The sequence below is a fragment of the Homo sapiens genome, chromosome 12, assembly GCF_000001405.40.
Source record: "Homo sapiens chromosome 12, GRCh38.p14 Primary Assembly".
In the NCBI taxonomy this organism is placed as follows: Eukaryota; Metazoa; Chordata; class Mammalia; order Primates; family Hominidae; genus Homo; species Homo sapiens.
Window position 1 is genome coordinate 105,037,869 of NC_000012.12, and position 15,676 is coordinate 105,053,544.

General features: G+C 38.0%; 1 protein-coding gene across 7 annotated transcripts in view; it reads right to left on the bottom strand.

The window, feature by feature from the left end:
- Window positions 1-15,676, bottom strand: part of ALDH1L2 (aldehyde dehydrogenase 1 family member L2) — a 64,669-nt gene that overhangs the window by 18,079 nt on the left and 30,914 nt on the right. For 4 of the 7 annotated variants that reach the window (NR_027752.2, NM_001034173.4, XM_047428406.1 and 1 more), the window contains 8 exons: window positions 14,944-15,063; window positions 14,222-14,349; window positions 12,040-12,190; window positions 9,031-9,101; window positions 8,842-8,947; window positions 2,739-2,826; window positions 1,845-1,938; window positions 235-334 (listed from right to left, as the gene is read on the bottom strand). Coding sequence is in view for 6 of the 7 variants with exons in the window: in NM_001034173.4 (NP_001029345.2) it covers window positions 235-334; window positions 1,845-1,938; window positions 2,739-2,826; window positions 8,842-8,947; window positions 9,031-9,101; window positions 12,040-12,190; window positions 14,222-14,349; window positions 14,944-15,063 (858 nt within the window). In the remaining variant the exon portion in view is untranslated. Of the gene's footprint in view, window positions 1-234; window positions 335-1,844; window positions 1,939-2,738; window positions 2,827-4,339; window positions 4,446-8,841; window positions 8,948-9,030; window positions 9,102-12,039; window positions 12,191-12,620; window positions 12,843-14,221; window positions 14,350-14,943; window positions 15,064-15,676 lie in introns of those variants that run through there. The other 3 variants (XM_011537988.4, XM_011537989.4, XM_017018890.3) reach the window with 3 other exon arrangements.

The window sequence follows — 15,676 nt, forward strand, 5'->3', positions numbered from 1 at the left end:
ATTCTCCTGCCTCAGCCTCCCGGGTAGCTGGGACTACAGGTGCCCACCACCACGCACGGCTAATGTTTTTGCATTTTTACTAGAGACGGGGTTTCACCATGTTGGTCAGGCTCGTCTTGAACTCCTGATCTCAAGTGATCCACCCGTCTTGGCCTCCCAAAGTGCTAGGATTACAGGCGTGAGCCACCTCACCTGGCCCAGGCACCTATTTACTTAAATTTGACCCTCTCTTACCATTCGCACAGCCTTGTCAAGTTCACAGTCATTAAATATTATAAGTGGAGACTTGCCACCAAGCTCAAGGGAAACTTTCTTCAAGTTGCTAACAGCACAGCTAGAGGAAAACAAATGAGAAATGAGCATTTAGTTAACATCTCTCTCTCTCTCTCTCTCACACACACACACACACAAACACACACACACACACACACACACACACACACACACACACACACTTTTTAAGCTATAAGTTACCACCTGGCATGGAAAACATATTGAGCCTCAGTAATATTAAGAAACTTATTCAAGGCCAGGCACAGTGACTCACAACTGTCTGGGAGACCAAGGTAGAAGGGATCCTTTAAGGCCGGAAGTGTGAGACCAGCCTGAGCAACATGGCAAGACCTCATCTCTATAAAAAATAAGAAAATTAGGTAGGTATGGTGGTGTGTGACTGTAGTGTCAGCTACTTGGGAGGCTGAGGCAGGAGGATCGTTTGAGCCCAGGAATTCAAAGCTGCAGTGAGCTGTGATCACCACTGCACTCCAGCCTGGGTGACAGTGTTAGACCGTGTCTCTTAAAAAAGAAAAAAAGAAAGAAAAAGGAAAAAGTTATTCATAGATAAAACAGATGGTAGAATGGTGATTACCATTGAAGCTGAGTGATGAGTACATAAAATTCATTTTGCTTTTCTGCTTTCTATGTATTAGACATTTTCCATAATAAAAAAATTTCAAAAATGTTGTGGTCAAAAGTTAATTCAAATTCTTTAGAAATTTTGGTTACATAAAAGCCTGGCAAAAGAATTAAACCTCTAACCAGACTACCGAAGCATTGGGAGAAAAAATATCAATTTTTAAAAGTACGCTGCTTATTTTTCCTTTCTTACAAAAGTATTTTTATTTAAAGCATTTTGAAAATACCTACCCCAAAATGCAAACAGAAGAAAAAAATCACAAAATTCCATTCCATGCCTCAGTGACCATTGTTTTTACCATTTTGATATACTACCTATTTGTGATCTGTCCTACCATAGCTTTTGCGTTGTTTAACATAGTTGAGATCATCCAGTGTATACAATGTTATACTTTATTTTTATTTCCATTTATTATTTTAACAACACTTTTCAATGTTATTAAAATTCTCTATGAACATGACTGCACAGTGTTCCATTACATTGACATATTTTAACAACTGCTTTATTTTGGACATTTAGATTGCTTACAGCTTAAAAAAAAATTGCTTTGGCGGACTCCATTTATAAATAATCCAGGTTTGTCATATAAAATATATAAATTTCACATTTATGTATCTTTTTGGTTTTTTACCCATACTCTGAGAACAATTTGGGCCACAGCTTTAATACAGGAAGTCTTTTGTGCTGAATTGTTAAAACTACCAGTAGGGCACAGAATTTCAACATAGCTTTGGTTTTATTGACTCTGGGCTTTAATGCTTTGGAAAGTATTTTATTGTATTCAAATATTTCAATACTCAGCAGTGATAAGTAGATTTCCCTTCCAAAGTTGATGTAGTTTTTCTCACTCAAAAAGTACCCTGTTTAAACAAAAATTGAAACCTAGTTTAACAGGATCTGCAGTGAATCAACATTTTAAAACCAATACCTCTTCATGATCTGTTTGCCAATAGGAGTGGATCCAGTGAAACCAAGTTTGCGGATGTCAGGATGTTCAGACAGACGTTGTCCTGCTATGCCACCTGTAGAATTAGGGAATAAAACGGGAATTAAAACATACTCAAGGCCGGGCGCGGTGGCTTACGCCTGTAATCCCCGCACTTTGGGAGGCTGAGGCAAGCAGATCACAAGGTCAGGAGATCGAGACCCGCCTGACCACCATGGTGAAACCCTGTCACTACTAAAAATATAAAAATTAGCCAGGCATGGTGGCACACGCCTGTAATCCCAGCTACTCAGGAGGCTGAGAGAGAATCACTTGAACCCAGGAGGCGGAGGTTGCAGTGGGCCAAGATCGCGCCTTTGCACTCCAGCCGGGGCAACAGAGTGAGACTCCGTCTCAAAAAAAAAAAAAAAAAAAAAAAAAAACCTTACTCAAATTCTTATAGTGAAGATGGCTTTAAATTCATTGAAGTAGATTTCTAAGCTCTCCTTGACACCTTAGTTTTACATTTTCTGTATTAATTACAAACTGATAAAAGTCTGAAATAATACCCTTTATGAAATTATCAGACTCCCAAAATAATGATGGGTAAGCCTTGATTTTTATCTTCCAGAGTAGTTTTTGAAAATCAAAATGGAACATCTTAGGGTAATTTTACATGACTGTACAACCCCCCTCCCCACTGCCACTCACCCACCACTGTATTTCCATTTTAAGATTTTAGCACATGGTAAGTATATTCATCCTTAACTGTTTGGTGAATTGTATTTAGTTTTAATACAGTTATAATTCAGGACAAGTCTCTAGAGGTAAAAGAGCCACTCAGCTACCCCAGTACCATTCATTAGTTATAGCACAGTCGGTCATTTAGTGGCTTACCTGAGCCTGGAATGATGTTGATGACCCCCTTTGGAAAGCCTGCTTTCACAGACAGTTCTGCAAACTTCAAAGCAGTCAAGGGCGTGACCTGAGGAGAAGCAAACAGCAATTACCTTCTTCAGGCCCTAACCTGACCTTTAGCCCAGAACCCAGTTTTCCCTTGATAGCTGCACTAGATCTCATTTTATTTTTATTGTACATTGTCTTATTTTTTTGCCATAATTTCAGACTTACAAAAAGATGCAAAAATAGTACAAGTATTCCTTATATACATTTCCATTCAGATTCCTCAAATGTTAACATTTTACTGCATTTGCTTTATCTTTCTGTATATATTTTTCTAAACTATTTTTTAAAGATAAATTTAAGGAATATCTGTTTCTGAACTGTTTAAGAATACGGTAAAGACATACCCCATACTTCTAAATACTTCTGTGTGCATTTTCTATAAAACAAGAAATTCTTTTACATAACCATAGTACAATCATCAAAATCAGGAGATTAACAATTGATAGAATACATGATTTGCAGACCATATTCAGATTTCACCAATTATCCCAATAATGTCTTACAGCAAAAGAAAATCCAACATCTGCATTACATTTAGTTCTATCTGTAGTCTCCAGTAATCTAGGAGAATTTCTCAGTTCTCTTTTCTATTTCATTACACTGACATTTTTGAAGAGTACAGGCCAGTTATTTCATACAATGTCTCTTTGTCTGGATTTGTCTGATGTTTTTGCATGGTTAGATTCAAGTTATGCACTTTTGGGAACAATGCCACCGGAGCGATGCTGAGCTTTTCTCAGGACATCAGGAGGCACGTGCTGTAGAATAGTTCCAATACTGGAAAGTTAGTTTTGATTATTTGGCAAATGTGGTCTGCCAACTTTCATCACTGTAAATTACTATTTTATACATTGTAGTTAACAAATATTTTGTGGGGAGATACTCCTCAAATTTTTATCCACTAGTTTTAGTGTCCATGGATAATTTCTGGATAATAATCCTAAAGTATCATGATGGTTGCCAAATGGTGATTTTCCAATTCCCTCATTCCTTTTACGTGTAGTAGTTGGCTCTCTACTCTAAGTGTTTTCCATTCTGTTCAATTAATTAATATCAGTGTGAACACAAAGATTCTTACTGTAATCAGCAGGTTATCATCGTTTACTATTGTTACTGATTTTGATGTTCAATTGTTCTAGATTTGGCTGAGGCAGTCCCTTCAGTACGGCCCCTTATCATTCTGACGTGCCCCTATTACTTTGAGCATTACATTGCTTTCAGGCCCAACAAGATATTTCAGATTCATCTTGATTCTTCCCTACTCCAGCTACTTCTCCAAGGAGCCCAAGTTTCTTTGAGTGAAGAATGGTATTTTAGAAACCAAGATATCTGGACATTATTGAGGGGTCATCGCTTCTAGGCCCTCTTAGCAGACAGAGCTGGGAAAGAGATGTATGTATACACAACACACACACACACGTCTACATGTATGTGTGTATCTATCCCTCATATACCTATATCCATTTCTTTATTTAGCTATCTAAATACATTAAAACCCATGAGTTTACACTGATACCTTTATCCGATATCTTAGGGTCGATTCTATCCTTCTGCCCTTTTTACATTTGTCATTCTCTTCTCCAAGAAAGAGAGACATGGCTCCCATTATCCACAATACATTTACTTATTTGCTTAATCCTAAAACATAGAGAAAGTAATTTGAGAATTGTTAAGCCATGTCCCTATGAAAAAGAAGCCTATTAATTAGAGTTTAATATGTATTTGGGTTTTTTTGTTGTTGTTGTTTTGCGTTGCCTTTATCCTGAGGACATATAGTCCAAAGTTAGTCAAAAGTGACTTGGGTTCATGCTTCCTCATTCTCTTCAATGGGGTCATGTTATTCATTTGAAATATGGCTTAATTTGTTTTGTTTATATTTAATTTTAGGGTTTTGGCCCCATCTTTGTTGATTATATTTCTTTTCTTTGCTGTCATTAAATATGGGGACTATGCTTCCAAAAGTCAGGACTATTCAAAACATCCATTCAGAGAATGTTGTTCTCCCACCCTCCTTTCCACCCCATTCATCCCATGTTCTATAGATAATTTCATTAGTCTCTAGTTTATCTTTCCTGTTTCCTTTTATTCAAATCAGCAAATACATATTTTCTTATTTTCCCTTCTTTCTCACATAAAAAGTGGCATAATATGGATCTCACCTTAAACATCTATTATAGCAATGCAAATCTCCAAAGCAAAATGAAAGCAATACCTTCACACTCTTAAAAACCAACGTCCATTCAGTCTTAAGTCAGTATTTGGTTAGCTTGGACTCTAAAAATGGGGTGTGCAAGAGGATCCATTGAGGTGGGAAAAGAAAATAGTGGAACTTTTATTTATATATTTTAGCTGACAAAGATATGAAATAAATGAACCATAACTAACATTTATTGTATGGCTGGATAACGCTGCTCTCACACAGTCTGAATGAAGGTCATATGGTCATGGGTCACAAAGGTACAGGCAGTGTCCCAGGAAAGAATAGGAGCTCACAAGACCAAGAGGGTGGCAGTGGTTCCTTCCCTTGCTCATTTGCCTTCAGAAGATTGCCCTCTGATGAAGTTTACAGGCCTGATTACATGGGTTCACAGGCTATGTTGTTATTTTAATTAAGCTTGTCTTTGTAAAATGTACAAGTGGCCAAAAAATGTGCATAGAAACTGCACAATAAATAATAATGGTAGCAAACAAACAAGAAAGAGGCAGGGCCACCACTTTTCCTCCTTCTAGTAACAGATCCACGACAGTCACATTGTGAGGTTTGTAAATCGTCAATGTAGACTTAACTCGATGAGAAGTTGGCCCAAAATATTTGAAGTTATCAACACTGTTGAAATAGTGGATTTACATCTAGTGTAGTTGAAGATGATCCTAGCCCAAGTATATCTGATTATGCCTTGGTATGAAACCATCATAATTAGAAAGATGTTTAAAAACTAACTATCCTGAATTAATTATAATTCTTTTAAAGTAAGAATATAAAGGTTTTAAAATGTGATTTATAAATAAAATAAATGGTTTCATCTCCATCACAACTCTTTTCATTTTTATTGGTTTTCTTCCATTTGGCTATCCAGTGTCCCTGCAGGATTATAGGTTTGCATAATACATGGGAAAGCCTCTAGTATGGTTCTGGGCAAGTGTAGGTCATTGCTAAAAATGAGGTTAATAAAGTCAGAACTTGTCACACCTGGACCAGACCACACTAGGCCATGAAAATCTGTGCTTTCTTTTGTATGAAGCCAGGAGAGAATCTTTCACACATATAACAAAGCAGACAACAGGTTTAAGAGGAGTCATCTCAATTCAGTCCTCTTGACTTTCACACAGAGCCCTAATATTATAAATGCATCACTGCATAATATTATCCAATAAAATTAAAAAGTCCAGCATAACAATGGCACCTTTGGGTCTTTCATTCTCAGGATTTAAATTATCTTCAACTATAAAACTGCCAGTTTTAAACTGCAGATAGAGCCAGCCTGTAATTTCCATGGAGACAGAAACTTTGTGTATCTTCATCACTACTACCTATCTGGCAACTGGTATGCACTCAAAGAATGTTTGTAATTTTTGGACATTATATATACTCATTGCCATTCCTCAGTGATTAGCACTCATTGGATTTCATTTAGTGGTTCTCTATCCTGGCTGTGCCTTGGAAAAACGTGACGCTTTTAAGCAATACCAATGCGTGGTCTCCAACTCAGACCAATTAAATCAGATCCCTCCTTTTACAATGCTGATATGGGGCCCCATCTCTGCCAGTGGGGCCCAATATCAGCATTTTAAAAGGAGAACTTTAGGTGATTCTAATGTACAGCCAGTGTGGAGCTCTACTGGGCTAGATTACCTGTCTCCTCACTTCACTCAACTAGCTTCTTGCTGTTTAATGGGTTGTGCACCTATTAAACAAGAGTGGGAGACAGTACTCTTGTATAATGCTGGTGAGCTAATATGACCCCCATGGATGGATTTGTCAATATCTATCACACAAATACATGTATCTTTTAACTGAGGGATTCTGCTATTAGAAACATATACTATAAATATACTTGCACATGTGCATTATACTTACAAGGTTTATAAGGTTATTAACTGTAGCATGGTTTATACAGCAAAAGGAGAAAAAATCTGAATATCCATAATTATGGATTGATTAAGTAAAATATGTTTTATCTATACAATGGAAACTGCTAAAAAAAGTTAGAATTTTTTTTTTTGCTAAGTATATAGAATGCTACTTTTTGTGTGTGTTTTTAAAAATTTTATTGTGGTAAGAACATTTAACGTGAGCTCTACTCTCTTAACAAATTTTGAAGTATAAAATATAGTATTAATTAACTATAGGTACAATACTGCACAGAGGACCTCTAGAACTTATTCATCTTACATGATTGAAGTTTGTTTGTTTGTTTGTTTTTTGAGACAGAGTTTCACTCTTGTTGCCCAGGCTGGAGTGCAATGGTGCAACCTCCGCTCACTGCAACCTCTGCCTCCTGGGTTCAAACGATTCTCCTGCCTCAGCCTCTGGAGTAGCTGGGATTACAGGCATCCGCCACCATGCCCAGCTAATTTTTTGTATTTTTAGTAGAGATGGGGTTTCACCATGTTGGCCAGGCTGGTCTTGAACTCCTGACCTCAAGTGATCCACCCGCCTTGGCCTCCCAAAGTGCTGGGATTATAGGTGTGAGCCACCTTGCCTGGCCAGTAATTGAAACTTTATGCCCATTAATTAGCAATATATACATATACACATATATAATACTATATATATCTACATATAATAATATATATCTCTCTACATATACATAATGAAACTACATATTCATAAATATACACATATATATGTAGAGACTATCTCTGGGATATCTAAGCCACTAATAGATAACAATCACATTGGTTGTCTCTGGGAGGTAAACTGCTTGGCTGGGGAATAATGATAGAAGGGAGACATTTCACTATCTACCTCTTTGTATCTTTTGAATTTTGAAAACTTTGAACGTATACCTACTTTTTCAAATAAAATCGTTTTTAATGATTAAAACAAAATGGCCGTGGCCACATGACCATGTAGCTATGCCAAATGAAACTGTATTTTTTTAAACTCTGAAAGAAGAAATAAGAGTTGAGAGGTAACAAATTATAAACTTCTAGAATAAAGACCAAGTTTACTCCACGACTTATGCACCTCAGAATGCCTACTACCTAGTAAAGTTACCTGCAGATAACAGAAACCCAAGTAAGAAGTTTATTTTTCTTCTAATTTTACATAGTGCACTTTATATAGTAAAAGCTCAGCCAGTGTTAACTTGGCTGCCATATTTTTTTCTTAAAAAGCTATTGTAGCATTAAGAGATTTTTTTGAAAACTACCTGAACTATTTCTTAAAAGTATTTTCTTGTTATCCATCTGGATATATTTTTATAATTACAGACATTCTTTTACATGCTTTTCCCTCATCTTCTACATCTTCTCTCTCTCTCTCTCTCTCTCTCTCTCTCTCTCTCTCTCTCTCTATATATATATATATATATATATATATATTTTTTTTTTTTTTTTTTTTTTTTTTTTTTGTGAGACAGAGTCTTTGCTTTGTTGCCCAGGCTGGAATGCAGTGGCACGATCTCGGCTCATTGCAACCTCCGCCTTTACAATATTTTTGACAATTAAGTTTGAATACCTGCATAATACTTTTTTTGATGTCTGATAATTACTCTAAATAATTCCCTAATTGTTGGGCACTTGGCATTTTGCAAGAATTGAATTGGTTCGTAGAAAGTCATTGGACTTCACTGATGTGCACCATGCTTGCTTCTATTATTATGAAAATTTTAAATTGTGGAATCTCCATACAATGTATTAGGTAGCTATTAAAAATGAATATTTACTGACATGAAAAGTTGTCCATGATATATGAGAAAAATGCCATACCATCTCATTTTTGTTTGCTATTTATAAATATATTTCACTTTTTTGAAGTACTGGATATAAGAGAGGAGGCAATTCTGCACCTGGCCCTTTGTGGCCTTACCTGTGCTGGCTTGAGCACTAAGGTATTGCCTGCTGCCAAACACGCAGCACTCTTCCATGCCAGCATCATCAGCGGGTAGTTCCAGGGAATAATAATGGCACAGACACTGCAGGGGAAGAAATTCGACATGCTTAGTTGTTTCAAATAACACAACTCATGATTCACTCAGAGGCACTCTCCTTATCTTACCCGAGTGGCTCTTTCTTGGTGAAGGTCAGATTGCGATTTGGACGGGCCTGGTTGATTGGAATAGTAGAACCCTAAAGAATGAGAAAAGTTGATACTTATTTTACTAATTTAAATAAGTAAATTTCATCTCAAAGGATCCATTTTCTGTCTTCCTCTCTTACTTTTTGTTAGCTGATATGAAAAGAGCGTTTGTTGATAAGAACTATATTCATGCCAAAGAAGGAACAGCTATTTGTTTCTCAAGAGAACCATGAAACACAGAAGAATAAACATAATTCTAATTTAGTCCATTCCTAATTGCTTGGCCTGGCAGAGAATGTGAACTGCCTGCCTATTATCCACTCTCCCCTCTGTCCTTAGTAACAGAATCCCTATATTAATAATGGGGACAGGAATATGCCCAGATCAAATACTATGGTTCCCATTCTCCAGATTAGGGATGGTCAGTGGAAGATACAAGCACAAGGCATTGGAAGGGGAATGCTACTTAAACTAGGCTAACTCTACTCTTTTATTCTTCCCTCCATGTCTGCTTCCTCCTTCTTCCTGTTTAGACTGTTGCTGAAATGGCTGGCACTGCAGTGGTTTTCTTGAGACCATGAGTCAACCTTCAGGGTGGAGGTCACATGGCCTGGCAAAGACAGAAAAAGAGTTTGCATCTCACATACTAGTCCTAACTGCCTGTCTCTGGACTCCTTGAAAGTGAGAGAAAAATAATAGGATTAAAAAAACAGGAATAAGTTGGCTGTTATATGCAGCCAACTTAATCCTAACGGAATCACAATAGTAGCCTTTAATGAAAGCTATTCATTTGCTTTGCCACATAAAATATTATTGCTACTACTAATAGGGTGTACAATTTCTTAAAACACTTGTAGCCAGTTATGTTTTGGAATTCAGAATTTTTTGGACTTTAGAAGTGTAATATAGTGCATATACCTTATATTATCTACTACCCCAGCAGGATTTGGGTAAGCCTCCCATAATCAAACATGCTAGTATTTATTCACTGAAACATTTGAATATTCACTCTAAGTGATGTAAATAAATATTATTAATAGATTATGTTCATTTAGGTCAGGGTTTGGCATCAAACGAGTTTGAACCAATCAAACAATTTTCAGGTTTCAGAACTATTTGGGTTTCATAATTGGGGATAACAGATGGACCTGAACTACCATTAGTAAATATCAATATATGCATGACTTTGTGGCTGAACCACAATAAAAATTTCATTTTTGTGCAAACCTGCTATGTTGCAGACTTGTCTAATCCTGTAGTGTACAAATACTCGTTTCCAATCCTCAAAACATAACTTGCAAAGTATGTATTACTGTGACCATTTTATAGAGGAGGAAAGTAAGGTTCTGAGAGAGAAAATAACTTTAACAACATCGGCTGATAAGGGCCAGAGCTGAGACTTGACTCAGGTCTGTCTGACTGTACATTAACATTGGTGGCAGCAATGTATGCAGATGAAATATGATGTTTCCCAGTCTCCTTAGCAGATAGAGATGGCCAAGGAGGGATATGAGCAAAAGGTACTGGGAAGGTAAGAATGCTTTGTTAAATTCCTCTTACCACTCCCCCTTTCTCACTTCCTTCTTTTTGCTGCTGGGAATGTGGTTGCAATGACTGGTACTGCAGTGGTTATTATGAGTCTATGAGGAACATGCATACTGCAGTTTGCTACAAGCCCTACATCTCCCTTTTGTATCCCCAGTGCTGGAGCTAGTGTTGTTGCCGTTGATCACCCTGTGTTTGCTATTTATTATCATACAGTAAAATGAAATATTTATTTATTATTCCTGTATCTTTATCAAAGTTTTTCTTTAAAAAAATTTTTTTTTGGCCAGGCGCAGTGGCTCATGCCTGTAATCCCAGCACTTTGGGAGGCCAAGGCAGGTGAATTACTTGAGGTCAGGAGTTCGAGACCAGCCTGGCCAACATGGTGAAACCCCGTCTCTGCTAAAAATACAAAAATTAGCCAGGCGTGGTGGTGCACACCTGTAATCCCAGCTACTAGGGAGGCTGAGGCAGGAGAATTGCTTGAACCCAGGAGGCGAGGTTGTAGTGAGCTGAGATGGCGCCACTGCACTCCAGCCTGGGCGACAGAGCAAGACTCCATCTCAAAAGAAAGAAAAAAAAATTTTTTTTTAATTTATTTCTCCTAGGACACATATTCAAAGACAAAGTTTTTCTTATACTCAGTCTGCTTCCACCATCTACGGTAGCTCTCTGGCCTCTGTAGGTATTTGAATTTGTAAACCCTACATGATACTAGGCTTCTCCAAAGTGTCTAGAAAACTATTCAACACCCTCAGGAGATATTATAGTAAAATGCAAAGAAGATCATTAGACTTTAGATTCGGAAAATCTTGACTTCAAATCTGGTCGTATGGGTTACTTGCTACAAATTATAGGAAAGGCATCCATGTCCTCAAGCCTTTGTTTGCTCACATGTAATAAGGGGATAAGAGCTATCCATTTACTTCCCGTAGTTGTTATAACCATTGCGAGGGTCTGAAAGTGTCTCCTAAAATGCATGTGCTGGAAACTTAACCCCTAATGCCACGGTGTTGGGGGGTAGGGCCTAATAGGAGGTGTTTAGGTCGTGAGGGCTCCACCTTAATGAATGGATCAATGCCGCTATAAAAAGGGCTTGCAGGAGTGGATTCACTCTCTTCTACTCTTCTGCCAGGTGAGGACACACCGTTCCTCTGCTCCAGAGGATGCACTACAAGGCACCATCTTAAAACTAGAGGCCAAACCTGCTGACACCTTTATCTTAGACTTCCCGGCCTCCAGAACTGTAAGAGAATAAATTTCTGTTCTTTATAAATTACCTAGTCTCAGGTATTCTGTTACAGCAGCATAAAATGGATTGAGACAACCCTGTTATGTTGGTGTAAAAAAATCTACATAAAAAGAGGATCTGACACAGTGCCTGGTACAAACTAATCAATGTTAGTCCCTTTTTCTTTCAGAACAAATAATATTTGTGCTTACCTGAATTTTGTCGCACCAGCCAGCAAAATATCTGAATGTTTGCACAGACATTCCAATGTGTGTCTTCAGGGCCAAGGTATAGACAGCCCCTGAATCAAGGGCTTCAATAGTTGCCAGCTCTTCTTGGTTCTCTTCCAGTAGGTCTGCAAGTCTGTGTGGTCAGTGAAAGAAATAAATTCAACAAGTATTGATTGAGCTCCTGTCACATATAATGCAGTATCCTAAGGACGGAGAATTCAGAGGTAAACACATATGGATCAGATCTCTGCCCTTATAGAGATCATGGTCCAGTAGGCAAGAAAGACATTAAACAAATATTTTCATAAATCATTTGTTTCAAGAATTACAAAGGAGAAGCAGAGGGTATTGGAAGCATATATAACTTGCCTCATCTATGTGTAAGAAGTAGAACAATGACTGAGCCAGTACCAGTCATTGGAACCACATTCCCAGAACCCACACTTCTGAGAACCCATGAACATTTGAGGATTTCCAGTTGGCACAAAAATATTTCCAAAACTAACTGAAGAGACAAGATAGCAACGTACACAATGAATTACAAACACTGCAACAGATTTCTGTTTGGTGTTCACAAGTTTTATGGGAAGGTAAGTGCAGGACTGTATAATGACTATGATACGGTAAGACTCATCTTTTGTGTTCAACTTCTCTATTTATTTTTCTTCTGTATTTGTAGTGGTTCTCTGAGCTGTTCCTTTGGGGCCACTCTAGAGTCCAGCTTGAAATCCCCCTCCGACAATCTTTGTTCCAGATCTTGCTTGTATTAGTTCATTCTCATGCTGCTAATAAAGACATACCTGAGACTGGGTAATTTATAAAGGAAAGAGGCAAGAGCATGTGCAGGGGAACTGCCCTTTATAAAACCATCAAATCTCATGAGACTTATATACTTTCATGAGAACAGCACAGGAAAGACTTGCCCCCATGATTCAGTGACCTCCCACTGGGTCCCTCCCATGACACATGGGAATTATGGGAGCTACAATTCAAGATGAGATTTGGGTGGGGACACAGCCAAATCATATCATTGCTCTAGGAGATCTATTGATCTAGGTCCGATATTGGATTTTAGGTAAACAGCAAATGGAATTTATGATTGAATCTAATCACTCCTGGCATCCTTCATTACTGATTTATAATATTCTTCCCAGTCCTTATTATTTTTCTTCCTTGTTCCTATTCCTTACACATCAAGTGGATATAAAATGTTTTTTTAAAACAACAGGGTACTGGATATTCTCCACTTGCCGCTCTCTGTATCCATTCTCCACCCTGCTCTGTGACCTTGACCCTGGTGAATGACCTTTATAGATTACATCACCTGGCTCCCTTGCTCTCCCATTGGGCTTGGCCAGTGAGAGACCACTGGGAGGCACCCGCAGAATATTGGTGAACTGAAGGAAAAAGTGGCTGGGGAGTTGGATTCCCTGGCTCCCTCGCTGATAGGCTGTGGTTCAGAAGCTGCCATGTCCCTCCACTGCAGTGTGGTTTTCTCGTATAGCTACAGATCTTGCCAGATTCCAGTAACAGCTCCTTCCCCTGTCCCTTCAGACCTTGACATAGCAGCTTCCCCCTGCTGCTAGCCCTGCCTGGATGTTTCAGTATCCTTTATTGGATTTCTTTGACCTCGGCCACGTCTTTGTGAACAGTTCTTTATTAAACTTCTTTTCCAGCTGGGACCTGCCTGATGCAAGCAATACTAACATAATCAACATATATAGGATTTAATATGAGTCAAGTAACAGAAGACATATTTCATATTAGGTGAATACTAGAATGTTTTGCAGGAATTTTTAAAATCTTGGCAATGTTAGCCAATATCCAAAGGTAGTAGACTCACTTTGTTTTGCTTCTTTTTTTTCCTTTTTTTTTTTGAGACAGAGTCTTGCTTTCTAGCACAGGCTGGAGTGCAGTGGTGCACTCTCGGCTCACTACACCCTCCACCTCCTAGGTTCAAGCAATTCTTCTGCCTCAGCTTCCTGAGTTGCTGGGACTACAGGCACGTGCCACCACTCACGCCTGTAATCCCAGCACTTTGGGAGGCTGAGGCAGGTGAATCACCTGAGGTCAGGAATTTGAGACCAGCCTGGCCAACGTAGTGAACCCCTGTCTCTACCAGAGTTACTTTTCTAAAAAATAAAAAAATAAAAAATAGAAATACCTATACATCAATCTTCCTCTTTCTCTTGCATTCATTCTTCCCCATTCACCGTTTTCAAAAGCATCTTTTGCTGCTGCTACTGCTTTATCAACATCCGCCAAAGAAGCGTAGGATACTTTGCATATTGTCTATTTCAAGGTAAGTAAAAATAGGCCCCATGAGAGATATGAAAATATGGTTCTTGGAATTAATATTGTATTAATAGAAAAAATAGAGTATTACTGATTTTAAAAAAAGTTATGATAAGAAATGAGTATATCTAGTACTACAGTAAAGAAAAAGAACAATTTTAATATGAAAATTGTGAACCAGAAATTTAGTACTTCTCATATCATACTACTTTATGGAAGAACACATTTAGGAAGATTGGAAGACTGTAGTTCTTCCAGTGCTTTAGGAAAGCTGAATTTCTTGCCATGAGTCTTCAAAGTCTGGAAAGTTTTTTCACATATATCTCTATGCAGATGAGTGCCTCTGGTGTGTATAGGTAAAGCTACCTGTCTAAATTTATCATAAATGTTCTATAAAATAGGTTACTACAGTTAATAGCAGCTGGTACCAGAATTGAGTCATTGAAAGAAAAGCATGAAGTACATTTGTGTGAAGTACTTAGAGGCAGAGTGAGAGAATAAAAGGGCTTCTTAAGACTGCCTCTTTTACAATGGTGTATTAACTAAAAATCCATGACCAGTGATCACTACTCACACTAAAGAATTACTCACAGATCCATCTGTTGGGTTGATAGTGTCGTAAGTCTTTCCATCGTCTGCATCTGTGAACTGTCCATTTATGAAACACTGGTATGGCATTTTTACCATGATTTCATTGACCTCCTTTGAAATCTGAGAGAAGTATATTAATAGATTCAATGGATTTCCGTGTTTACCAATTTGATGTCAAACAGCAATAAAGAAGCATATTCACGAATGCAGAGGGAGAAGTCAATGACATTCTAGTTCCGACTGTACAGAAGACATGCATATGTGAGATTTGGGCCTCAAGATGCTTGCCTTGGCCACTGGGGCAGGAGGGTAGAAGCTGTGAAGACAGAAGTGCTCTAGGCCAGGCTTTATACAGATTTCAGATTTTCTTTCTTAACAGATAAAAGGTAACTCACAAGACCTCTAGATAATGGAAACACCACCATCTAGTGGCAGCATTGGTGGAGCGCAGCTGTTGCCTTCATTGAAATCATTGAAAATGCCTTTGTCAATAGGTTTCCTTTTACACTGGTGCCATTTTAAGTTTGCTTTCCTTAAGTTCCTCTCTGTTTTCACTTTTTGTCTGTTACACATGTGTTGCGTAAATTGTACTCTCTGCCAGTGGCTGGCAAGCAAATTGAGGTTAGTCAATGAACTTTGATGAGGCTCAGTTTTTTTCAACAATGCAATGGGGATAATGATACTGCCTTCATGCAGTTACTGTGAGGAAAAACTGAGGTAATATATCAATGCA